Source organism: Homo sapiens, chromosome 3, assembly GCF_000001405.40.
Source record: "Homo sapiens chromosome 3, GRCh38.p14 Primary Assembly".
NCBI lineage: Eukaryota > Metazoa > Chordata > Mammalia > Primates > Hominidae > Homo > Homo sapiens.
This window is the reverse complement of record NC_000003.12, coordinates 119,873,595-119,887,299: the sequence shown is the minus strand read 5'-3', so window position 1 is coordinate 119,887,299 and position 13,705 is coordinate 119,873,595. Positions and strand designations below refer to the sequence as shown.

General features: G+C 34.1%; 1 protein-coding gene across 4 annotated transcripts in view; it reads left to right on the top strand.

Moving 5' to 3' along the window:
• The window catches only part of GSK3B (glycogen synthase kinase 3 beta), a 273,127-nt gene that overhangs the window by 207,148 nt on the left and 52,274 nt on the right, over positions 1-13,705 (top strand). For all 4 annotated transcript variants that reach the window (NM_001354596.2, NM_001146156.2, XM_006713610.4 and 1 more), the window contains exon 8: positions 10,792-10,887. In NM_001354596.2, coding sequence (NP_001341525.1) covers positions 10,792-10,887 — 96 coding nt within the window. The remainder of the gene's footprint in view (positions 1-10,791; positions 10,888-13,705) is intronic.

Here is a 13,705-nt window from a genome sequence, read left to right as displayed (position 1 = left end):
TTTGTCAGCCAGTTTCTTAGTTGTTTACACCTGGAGGGCAGTTTCAGTGTTCGTTATTTCATCACAGCTAGATGCAGAAGTCTATAATGGCCTTTTAAAAAAATAATAATACCATGCAAGCCTTTGCATGGCATTCTATTAAGTATATTTCACAAAGCATTTTAAAATAAGTTTTAGATTTTTTATACTCAATTTTATCTTGTTTAGCCAGTTAGATGACTGTTTCTTCATAGTATTCTTCTGTTGCTAAAGACCTCTGTTATTAACAGTTTAAAATATTTTTTTCCAACTTTTATTTTAGATTCAGGGGTACATGTGCAAGTTTGTTACCTGGGTGTATTGGGTGATGCTGAGGTTTGAGGTATGAATGATCTTTTCACCCAGGTACTGAGCATAGTACCCAGTGGTTAGTTTTGCAGCCTTCTTTCCTGCTCTGGTTGTCCTCAGTTTGTATTATTGCCGTCTTTATGTCCATGATTACCCAGTGTTTAGCTCCCACTTATAAGTGAGAACATGCAGTATTTGCTTTTCTATTCTTGCAGTAATTTGCTTAAGATAATGGCTTCCAGCAGCATCTATGTTGTTGCAAAGGACGTAATTTTTTTTATGGCTGCATGGTATTCTATGGTGTATATGTACCACATTTTCTTTATCTAGTCCACTGTTGATGGGCATCTAGGTTGATTCCATGTCTTTGTTATTGTGAAGAATGCTGTGGTGAACATGCAAATGGTTGTATCTTTTTGGTAGAACAATTTTTCTTTTGGATATATACCCAGTAATGGCATTGCTGGGTCAAGCAAGTTATTTGAGAAATCTCTAAACTGCTTTCTACAGTGGCTGGACTAATTTACATTCCCACCAATAGCATATAAGTGTTCCCTTTTCTCTGCAGCCTCACCAGCATCTGTTGTTTTTTTACTTTTTAATTAGCCATTGTGACTGATGTGAGATGATATCTCATTGTGGTTTTGACTTGCATTTCTCTGATGATTAGTGATGTGAAGCATTTTTTTCATGTTTGTTGGCCACTTACATCTCTTCTTTAGAGAAGTTTCTGTTCACGTGTTCTGCCCATTTTTTAATGGGGTTATTTGTTTTTTGCTTGTTGATTTGTTTTAAATTTCTTATAGATTCTGGATATGAGACCTCTGTCAGTTGTGTAGTTTGTGTCTGTTTTCTCCAATTCTGTAAGTTGTCTGTTTATTCTGCTGATAGTTGTTTTTGCTATGCAGAAACTCTTTAATTAGTTCTCACCAATTTTTATTTTTATTGCAGTTGCTTTTGAGGACTTAGTCATAGATTATTTCTCAAGGCCAATGGCCAGAATAGTGTTTCCTAGGTTTTCTTGTAGAATTTTTATAGTTTGAGGTCTTATATTTAAATCTTTAGTCCATCTTGAGTCACTTTTTGTATATGGTGAAAGATAGGGGTCCAGTTTCATTCTTTAGCATGTGGTTAGCCAGTTATCCCAGCACCATTTATTGAATAGGGAATCCTTTCCCCATTGCTTATTTTTGTCGACTGTGACGAAGATCAGATGGCTGTGTGTGGCTTTATTTCTGGGTTCTCTGTTCTGTTCCATTGGTCTATGAATCTGTTTTTGTGCCAATATGATGCTGTTTTGATTAATGTAGCCTTATAGTACAGTTTGACGTCAGGTAATGTGATGCCTCTGGCTTTGTCCTTTTTGCTTAGGATTGCTTTGGCTATATGGGCTCTTTTTTGGTTCCATATGAATTTTAGAGTAGTTTCTTCTAGTTCTGTGGAAAATGACATTGGTAGTTCGATAGGAATAGCATGAAAAATGACATTGGTAGTTTGATAGGAATAGCATTGAATCTGTAGAATGCTTTGGGCAGTATGGCCGTTTTAACAGTACTGATTCTTCCAATCCATGAGCATGGAATGCTTTTCCATTTGTGTCATCTGTGATTTCTCTTAGCAGTGTTTTGTAGTTCTCCCTGTAGAGATCTTTCACCTTCTCAGTTAGAGGTATTCCTAGGTATTTTATTTTATTTTATTTTATTTTATTTTATTTTATTTTATTTGTGGCTATTGTAAATAGGATTGTGTTGTTGATTGGGCTCTCAGCTTGAACATTATTGGTGTATAGAAATGCTACTTATTCATTTGTTGATTTTTTATCCTGAAACTACTGAAGGCATTTATCAGTTCCAGGAACCTTTTGGCAGGAACCTTTGTCTTTAGGGCTTTCTAGGTATAGAATCATATCATCTGCAAAGAAAATAGTTTAACTACTTATTTTTCTATTTGGATGCCATTTATTTTTTTCTCCTGCCTGATTGCTCTGGCTAGCACTTCTGGTACTATGTTGAATAGGAGTGGTGAGTGGGCATCCTTGTCTTGTTCCACTTCTCAAGGAGAATGCTTCCAGTTTTTGCCCATTCGGTATAATGTTGATGTTCATTTTATTAAGTTGAATTACCATGATAGGGGTAGATTTTATTTAAATCAGGGTTTTTTTTAAGTTGCCAAAAAGTCTATTTAACTTTTGAAACTTGTTTATAACCTCGTGATCTTACAAAACCTTTATATATTTTATACAACTCAAAAGGATTCATGTTTCTTTTTTATGGTATAATCACTGTAGTTTAAGAAAATGACTTTTTAAATGTTATTTTGTAAAAACTCTTCCTTGTTTTCTGCCCTTAACATTGGATAGACCATTTTAGGGAGTCAGTGACACATGCATTTGTATCCCTATCTACCACTGACAAATTGTAACCTTGAGACTTCTGTCAGCCTTAGGTTTTTCACATGTAAAAGAGGATAATATTGTATCTGTAAAATTCAAATGAGAAAAGAAAATTGATGTGTCTAGCACACTGCTCTTACATGCTATGTGCTTAATAAATATTTGTTCTTTGTTCTCTCCTCTCTCTCTCACTGGCAGTACTTTGAAAGGAAAACTTAATTCCACTAAACTCATGTCAGGTGATTATGGTCGGCTTGCTCTTCCCGTGACCTCAGCAAGATCAGAAAGGAAACCTTAGTGGCCACCTGCAGTGAACACCTTTTGGGCTGTATTTTTTGCCTGGGTTCATTGTGTCATAAGATACTTCTCTGTCGTTTAAGTGTTCGCCTTCCTTTGCCCCCATGGTGTCACTGTCTTATGGGACCTCACCCAACTCCTTGTACTTCTAACTCAGCCTTCTGTTTCAATTTCTCTTTTTTCTGTATATTTGTATGCCCATCTTTAGCACTCTTCTTTGTCTGCTTTGCCTGTTATACACTGTCACAGCCACCTAGCACTTATACCGCAGGTACTACCAAAGCAGTTCTTTTAGCCTCAAGCTCTCTTCTAAGTAATATATCTAATGTTCACCACTTGGTGGAGATCTCCTTCTGGTTCTTCCTGAATGTCTGGTCTCAAATATTATTTTCTCTTCTGATCTACTCCTTCATGCCTAATACCATCAAGATTTTTCACAACTACTGAAATTGTTTACCTTCCAGCCACATTCAATAACCAGATTCTTTGATGCCACCTCCTAAAATTTGTTTACCACTGATAAGATTTAAATTACTTTCTAGCTCTGTTTCTAGTTATGACCTCTGAAAAGGTACTCCTTCTGGGTCTGTTTTTCTCATGTTTAAAAATGTTTGTACTAGATCAAGGGTCAACACAGTAGGGTCCAGGGGCCAAACACAGTCTTCTACCCATTTTTGTAAATAAACTTTTGTTTGTGGTTGTTTTCATGTTGCAGAGTTGAGTAGTGACAGAGACTTTGTGTCCCACAAGCCTTAAATATTTACTGTCTGGCCCTTTCCAGAAAACATTTGCTGACCCCTGAACTAGAAAATCTCTCATCTAGTTTCCTCTTTTTTTTAATAATTTTTTTGGGGACCATTCATGATCACGTCTAAGGATAGTAGGCATTTTTAAATTGCTCCCTAATGTTTTGTTTTAATTGGTTTATCATTAGAAGTCACCAACAGAAATAAGTGCTTTTTTTCCTATATTGTGAGGACCTTGTCATAATAAAATATTCTTCAGTGTTTCAAATTTGAGAGCTTTTTGAATTTTTAGTATTTTTTAATATGTTGTAAATCCCACTGTCAGCCACCCTAAGGAGAACCTGGTGTTAAGATTTAAAATACAGTAAGAAAAAGACTAGAAAAATGATAGTAGTTGAATTAAACGTGGAACATACTGTAATGTTAGGATCTCTGTTTCCCATGTAATAGCCTTCGTGATTCAGTCATGTGATGGTAAATGGATGAATAGGATTTTCTTTGCCATTTTGTGCTGACAGACCTTTTTTTAGTTAATTGCTTTTTAAAATAATTTATAGTGAATACACCAACAATTCTATTTACAGGTTGGTAGTTAAAGCCTCTTAACAGTCACTGATAACTATATTTTGAAGGTAAAGAATATAGCTAGTTAAAACTCTGACCACTGATTGTAAATATAATAAAGAAACCTTTTTTTAACCAGTGGGGAACCCAGGTGAAATAAATGCAAATCAACAGCAAAACTGATGGTAAAAGTGTATTAATCTTTATAAAGGAATGAGTTGCAGAAGAAAAAAAATACTTTTTAAATATCATCACTATTCATCAAAGCAGATTATTTCCCATTGTGGTAAAGATTTTCTACGTGCATTTTCTGGTATATATTAAAGGAGGATTCAAGGTATGTAAAAAACATACTTACATAAAAAGTTGTAAATATCAAACCTTAATTATATGCATGCTGATGTGTACTGATACCTGCAACTTATTTTGAAATGCATCAAAAAATAGGTGGATTGATGTGTGGATAGAGGGTTGTGTATGTGATGAACCAAATATAGTAAAATGTTAGTTGGAGAATATGGATAGTGGATATAGTGGGTTGGTGTTCACTGTAAAACTTTCACAACTTTTTTGTTTGAAATTTTCCTTAACATAATATTAGGTAAAATGTTTAGATCTAAGTGGCTGTGAGACAGTGAATTTAGGGAGAAGGATGTGAGAGTGAGTACACACACATGGTATACCTTAAATAAATTATTAAAAGTTTATATGTTAAGCATACCGTGTATATAAGCATATGTTTCTCAACTGTTTTATTGTGTATTTCACAGATTTGCTTCTATTAGGAATATTCTTAGGTTATAAGTAAAAAAAAAAAACAAGAATTGTAAAACTTTCATTTCAGGGAACATCCTGACTTTTACATTATACATTGTAACTGTATTAGTCCGTTTTCACACTGCTGATAAAGATATACCCCAGACTGCATAATTTAATAAGGAAAGAGGTTTAATTGACTTACAGTTCCACATGCCTGGGAAGGCCTCACAATCATGGCAGAAGGCAAGGAGGAGCAAAGTCATATATTACATGGATGGCGGCAGTCAAGAGACGAGAGCTTGTCTTGTGCAGGGAAACTCCCCTTTATAAAACCATCAGATCTTGTGAGACTTATTCACTATAATGAGAACAGCATGGGACAAACTACTGCCGTGATTCAGTTATCTCCCACTGGGTCCCTCCCATGACATGAGGGAAATAGGGGAGCTACAATTCAAAATGAGATTTGGGTGGGGGCATAGCCAAACCATATCAGTAACTCTTGAATTATCCCCCATAACCTCTATGAAAGTTAGCCGAATGCTTAAGAAGAGAAGTCCATGTGATTTCTGTTCACACAGTAAATGGATACATTTACTAATGGACATCACAAGAGTTAGTACTGTGTCTTATGTTAGCAAAGTACTGAATATGTAGAGGATGGCTGTACAACAAATACTGATTCAAGAGTGGGCATTTCTGAAGTGTCATTTTGGTTATTTCGAAATATATCAAAATGAAAAAGTATATGCAAATATATTGTTTTAAGTACAATAGTAAATATTCATGTAACTACAACTCATATTAAGAATTAGAGCTAGAAGAATTACTTTTGCCCCATCCCAGTCACAGCCCCCTTTTCCACATCCTCTTTGTTAAACTGGATAATCTGTACTTGATTTTAATGATGAATATACTTATGTTTTTTATTTATTTTTACACAGTTTTACTATGTAAACTATAGTGTTGTCTGATTTTGAACTTTAAGGCAGTCATGTTGTGTGCATTCATTGTTGAGTAAAAGCTCACCACTGTGTGAGATTCATCCATAAAGGTATGTGTAGCTCTGGTTTAGTCATCTTCATTGCTAGTTAGTATGCTATTGTATGACTATGCCACAATTTATTTGTTAATTCTACTGTTGGATTTTTGCTTTTATCGGCAGTATTTTATTATTATGAACAATGTTGCTTTAGAGGTATAAGAATTTCTCTGTTAGGGTATATAGCTTGAAATAGAAATCAGTAAGTTGTAGGGTCACTGAAGGTATACACTTATAAACACTCATTTATTCATGTCATTGCCGCTGTTGTTTGTTTTCAGCTCTCAAAAGAATCCAATAGAGTTGCATGTGACGGAATTGTTGATAAGCTTATTAGTACTACTCCCTCATTCTTCACTCCTCACCCTCTCACCAGGTACATGTATACACATACACATGCACATATCCCCAGAACAATGTTAGAAATAGGGGTTAGAATAAGTGTTAATAATTTAGATTATTTTTACAGTCACCTTTTTATTTTCTTTCCAATAACATTAGGAGTTTGCTCAGAAATTACCTTATACACAGTTAAAGGTCGGTTTATTTTTAACTAGATTCCTTTTTGATTTATATCAGTGAATAATTCTGTAGCTCAGAATATCCTTCCATCTATCTTACCCAAACTTTATGTATTCTAATAGTTAAATAATTTCTGAAAGTTTTTATTACAGGGGTAATTGGCATACAAGAAACTACACATAGGGACCACATCAAGATAAAAAGCTTCTGCACAGCAAAGGAAACAGTTAACAGACTGAAGAGACAATTCACAAAATGGGAGAAAATATTTGACAAGAGCTTAATAACCAGAATATATAAGAAGCTCCAACAACTTTATAGGAAAAATATCTAATAATCTGATTTTGAAATGGACAAAAGATCTGAATAGACATTATTCAAAAGGATACATACAGATGGCAAACAGGTATATGAGAGGTGCTCAACATCATTGATCATCAGAGAAATGCAAATCAAAACTACAATGAGATATCATCTCACCCCAGATAAAATGGCTTTTATCTAAATGACAGGCAGTATCAAATGCTGACAAGGATGTGGAGAAAACAGAATCCTTGTTATGTTGCTGGTGGCGATGTAAGTTAGTACTGCTTCCATGGAGAACAGTTTGGAGGCTCCTAAAAAAACTAAAAATAGAGCTGCCTACCATCTAGCAATCACACTGCTAGGTATATACCCAAAAGAAAGGAAATCAGTATATTGAACAGGTATCTGCACTCCTATGTTTATTGCAGCACTCTTCACAATAGCCAAGATTTGGAAGCAACCTAAGTGTTCATCAGCATGGACACTTCATGAATGGATAAAGAAAATGTGATATATATACTCATAAAGAATGAGATCCTGTTATATGCAACAACATAGATGGCACCGGAAGTCGTTGTGTTAAGCCAGACACAGACAAACTTCGCATATTCTCAGTTATTTGTGAGAGCTAAAAATTAAAACAATTGAACTCATGGAGATAGGGAGTAGAATGATGGTTAGCAGAGGCTGGGAAGGGCAGTTGCTGGGGAAGTAGGGATGGTTAATGGGTACAAAACAATAGAAAGAATGAATAATATCTAGTATTTCATAGCACAACAGGGTGACTATACTCAATAATAATTTAATTAAATATCGAAAAATACCTAAAAGAGTATAATTGGATTGTTTATAAAACAAAAGATAGGCTGTGCGCAATGGCTCACACCTGTAATCCCAACACTTTGGGAGGCTGAAGTGGGTAAATCACGAGGTCAGGAGATCAAGACCATCCTGGCTACCACTGTGAAACCCCATCTCTACTAAAAAATAGAAAAAATTAGCCAGGCGTGGTGGTGGGCACCTGTAGTCCCAGCTACTCGGGAGGCTGAGGCAGGAGAATGGTGTGAGCCCAGGAGCCGGAGCTTGCAGTGAGCTGAGATCACGCCACTGCACTCCAGCCTGGGCAACAGTGTGAGACTCCGTCTCTAAATAAATAAATATAAATAAACAAAGGACAAATGCTTGAGGTGATGGATACCACATTTACCCTGATGTGATTATTACACATTGTATGCCTATATCAGAGTGTCTCATATATTCCACAGATACATACACCTACTATGTAGCCACAAAAATAAATATTTTTTAAAACTGCACATATTTAAAGTATTCAACTTGATAAGTTTTTCCATACGCTTACACCCGTGAAACCAAGATAATGAACATTCATAATCCCAGTAGTTTCCTAGTGTCCCTTTGTAATCTTGCTTCTCAAAACTATAGATCTTCTGTCACTATAGATAGAAAATTTACTAGAATTCCATATGAATGTGATTATACTTTAGGTACTCTTTTTGGTCTGGCTTCTCTCACTCAGCTTAATTATTTTTAGATTCATCCATGTTGTTCTTTTTAAATTACTGAGTAATGTTTTACTGTATGGCTATGTACCATTTATTTACTTGATGATGCCATTTTGGTTTGTTTCTACTGTTTAGCAGTTAAAAAAAATATGCTATGCATATTTGTATACAAGTCTTTGTATGAACATGTGCATTCATTTCTCTTGGGTATGTACCTAGGAGTGAGAATGATGGGTTGTATGATATGTATATGTTTAACTTTTAAGAAACTTCCAAACTGTTTTCCAAGGTGCTATATACCATTTCACATTTCCACCATCAATGGTGAGAGCTTCAGTTGCTGTACATCCTTGCCAAGATTTGTTATACATAGTCTTTAATTTTAGCCTTCTTATTGGGTATATGGTGGTATCTTGTTTTAATTAGCATTTCCCTAATGATTAATGATGCCAAGCATCTTTTCTTGTGCTTATTTGCCATCTCTCTGTCATCCTTGGTGAAGTGTCTGTACATATCTTTTACTGATTTGTATTGGTTTGTCTTATTTTTGAATTATAAGAGTTCTTTATATATTGTAAATACAAGCCCTTTGCAGAATATATTTTGCAAATATATTCTGCAAAGTTCGTGACTAGCCTTTTCATTTTCTTAAGAGTGTCTTTTAAAGAACAAACTTTTTAAAATTTGAATGAAGTTCTGAAAGTTTTAGCAGTGTCTAGAGAATTAGAACCAACAACAAAAACATAACAAATTCTCACTTTGCCCTGAATGGTTACAGAATTATGCCTGATTATTCACTGGTTGCCACCACAAATCTAGTACTTACCATTACATTCTTCTACTTCTGTGCAGTTATTCTTGAACTGTAACTGGTTTAATATTTTATTTCAATAAATTTGATTTATACACGGTCTTATAAAGATGAGTAATATGTGGTATTTCTCTTCAAAGTCCTCAATTTTTAGCATTTAATGTTTCTTCCTGTCATCCATCTTGTACAGCCAGGTCCATGTACTTTCTTTTGTTCAGTACCTAGTATAGCTCTAGAGACAATGAAGTGCTCAATACATTTTTGTTGTGTACTGTAATTATACTTTTTTGACATACAAATATGTAAGTTTATGGTAGCAGGAAATCTCTTGTTCTTTGTATCCTCCAAAGGTCCTAACATAGTTCCTTGTATACAAGGGACACTATTCAACGACTGAATGAATTGTTGACGGTTTTAAAATAAACTTTGCCTGATATATCGATAATACAATTGGCCCTCCATATCTACAGGTTCCGCATCTGCAGAATCAACCGACTGCAGATCAAAAATATTCAGAAAATAACAATTTAAAAATACATTAATGAAGAATAATATACAACTTAAAAACAATACAACTATTTATATAGCATTTATGTTAAGTATTATAATAACCTAAAGATGATTTAAAGTATAGGAGGATGTAAGGTTATATGCAACTATTATGCCATTTTATATAAGGGACTCGAACATCTCTTGATTTTGGTATCCTCGGGGGCTCCTGAAACAATCTGAATACCAAGGGACAGCTGTATAATCTTTGGCTATACTGAACTAAGTGAAGAAAAAATACTCTCAGATGTGATTATTGCAATAGATAGTTTTTCTAGATAAAGATATCTGATTTTTACTTGAATATTTTTGAGTATGGTAATCTTTTTTATGACCCAAATTTAACATTATTGTTATCATAGAAGTCTGTCTATGGTAATACAGCATGGAATCTGTAGTCAGCTACAGATAAAAGGCTTTCACAAAGTTTGTTTGCCTTTGTCTGTTTTGTGCTACTATAACAGAATACCAAAGACTGGATAATATATAAACAATAGAAATTTACTTGGTTCACTGTTCTAGAGACTGGAAAGTCCAATGTCAAAGGGCCCACATCTGGTGATGGCCTTCGTGCTGTATCATCTCATATTGGAAGGCAGAAAGTCAAGACAAGGCAAGAGTGAGAGGGAGCCAAACTTACATTTCTAACCAGCCTGCTCTTGAAATAACAATCCTGCTTCCACTTTAATGACATGAGTCCATTCACAAGGGCAGAGCCATTACCTAATTACCATTTAAACATCCCACCTCTCAACACTGTTGAATTGGGTATTAAGTTTCCAACACATGAGCTTTGGGGGACATATTCAAATCATGGCACTGCTCTATTTAATGAGTTACGTATTTTATTTAACTTGGGAATTCCTTTTTTCAGTGAATCCAATGCCTGAAAACATGGAGACTAAATTTGTAAATATATAGGAAAAGATGGCAATAACTTGCTTTCTTTCTAGGTCCTGGGAACTCCAACAAGGGAGCAAATCAGAGAAATGAACCCAAACTACACAGAATTTAAATTCCCTCAAATTAAGGCACATCCTTGGACTAAGGTGAGTTAGATTTTTTTTTAAGTATATTAATCAGTAGTTAACTAAAACAGGTTTCTCATTGTTCTTAAACTATTTTGAGATCAGATAGTTGCATGAATACAAGCAGTTCTGCATGTAAAGATAGTTGTATAGATGTACTTGAGTGTTTCATTGACTTTATATAGTTTCATCCTCATTGATTTCCTGTAGATAGTTTCTAGCCTGGTTTTTTATTTGCAAGGTAAGGGCAGTGTACTTATATCATTAAAGTACAGAATTTGATTTAGGAGTAGGATCTTATATAAAATTTTGACAACCTAAAATTCAGAAGTTTATTTACATAGAGGTGTATAGTTTAATATCATATAGCATATCATACATTTCAAACATTTTCTTTATTCTTTTAAACTGTTAAAACATATATCTTATTATAGATGGCATTTTGTGTTTTTCCTCTCTTGTTTACTTTCCTACTGGCATTTTGGAAACAAGATTAGAAAGCAAATGTAATCTTGCTGGGAGTATACATTAAAAACAATTGATATGTTAACTGGATGTCACTAGCCTTTGGAAAAACCCAACCTTAACATTAGATAGAACCAGTTCTAAACAGCATAGTTGCTAATGTACCAGGGAACTTTTTTTTTTCCTTTGGTATTTAATTGGAATGATTTTAAAAGAGATTTTATTAAAAAGTGTTTTCACCTTAGTTTGATTTGTGAGATTAAGTATGAACAGAAAAAAAATAGAATTTCTCAGTAGGGTTTATAAGTAGAGTGAATCTCTAGCTTCTTCATTTTACAAGTTCAGAAACTCTGACCAAAGATTCAAAGTGACTTACCCAAGATTACATGGATGGCTTGTGACAAAGCCGGGATTAAACTTCTGTGTGTGTGTGTGTGTGTGTGTGTGTGTGTGTGTGTGTGTGTGTGTGTCACGGGTTACCAATGATCGACTTTATAATACGTATTTTAAGGAGAGACTTACTGTATTTTAAAATGTACATATAACAATTCATTTTATATACAATTAAATTCATTTAGTTATAGATCTTTTATAATTCGAGGTGAAGTCATTTAGGGCTATAGGTGAAATAATTTACCCTCTGTAGAATCAAAGTATGTTTCTTTCTCTCTCTCTCTCTTAATCAGATATATTATGATTCCAGTTACTTTTTCTTCAAGTTCTTATAATCTCATTATCTATCTTCAGAAAATTCTCGTTACTAATTATTTATTTCCTATTTAGAATCAAAGACCTCAATAGTATTTTAGTGCCAGAATTATAGGTTGTAACTTTTACTACAACCTGGCCAACAGACCACGATCTTGCCTCCCTTTTTTAAAAGTTTATGGTAAGCACTAAGTAGTCTGAGATTCAAAAGTGTTCTTTGATCTTTGTATTCAAGGCTTATTTTAAATCTGGGTCAGAAGATATTTAGGGACTCTCACCTGGCTCTAAACCCAGAAGATCTCAGGTGGCCTACTTGGATTTAGAGGCTGCATTACAGTTTGAGTCCATTATAGTTATTGCAAGTTAAATTGTTTATAGTAAGTGATTTGTAGTATACTATGACTTCAGCCATGTTAAGAGAAAAACAACAAAGAGAATTCTGTGTATTAAATAAATACAGGGAAATATTCCAAAATGCCAACAGTAGTTTGGGTAAGAAGAAAGTGCATGATTTTATTTTCTTTGTTCTACCTTTTCAAACTTTCATATTTTCTTTAATAATAATGTTATTTTTATGAGGAAAGGGAAAAATTCTTTTTTTGGTGTAATCTAAGTATTCATCACATATTATCCTCCTTATAGAGTTTCTGACAAATATAAAGCTGAAATTGAGTCCATGAGATCCTATTTAACAGTCCCCATCCTCCATTATTATTATTATTATTTTATCAAGACTGCCACTAGTCCTCCTTTATCTAAGGTTTCAGTTACATTTGGTCAGCCTCTGTCTGAAATCGGTGATGTAGTACAATAAGATATTTTAAGAGAGATACTACATTCACATTATTTTATTATAGATATTATTCTAATTATTCTATTTTATTATTAGTTATTGTTGTTAACCTCTTACTGTGCCTAATTTATGAAGTAAGCTTTTATCACTGTATGTATAGAGAAAAACAGTATATGTAGGGTTTAGTACTACTTGCAGTCTCAGCATCCACATGAGGGTCTTGGGGACATATCCCCTGTAGATAAAAGGGAGGGGACACTGTATTTAGTGTGTGTCAAATTCTGCATTTTCCCCCTGAATTATATCTCTCTAACGCAAGTATTAGCTAGAGTAGAATGTGAGGAATGGTTGATTATAATTAAAATGCAGCTAATGAAAGAGCTGTACTAAATATGTATGCTGTAAATCTTCCTTTGCCCTCTTCAATTCTTGATGTTTTTATATCTTATACTAATGCTTTTCAAACTTGAATCGTCTATGTAAAGCACATTTATTTAGGTTTCCATTCCTGTACCATGTGTAGAATAATGACTCAGTTCTCCCATCTTTTTTGTCTATTAAAAGGACTGTGAACCTTTCATTCGTCTGGTGTTTTTTGACATAATTTGGTTTTCACTTCATACACATGCATTATGTAATAAGTGCACTTATGTTGGTTCCTCATTTGTGCATACTAGAGTGGGTGTTACTGGGATTGTAAACAAAAAAGTAAATTCAGATGCAGAAATTTTATTGTTTTTCTCTGTCATCTAGATGATTGAGAATATGCTTGTGTTGGTTTTTTTAAATAGGTTATTATAAGAATTAAAATGCAAAACTTAAAATTCCTAGAGGGAACTCAGACTCCTTTCCCTACCACTGTGATAGTGGACA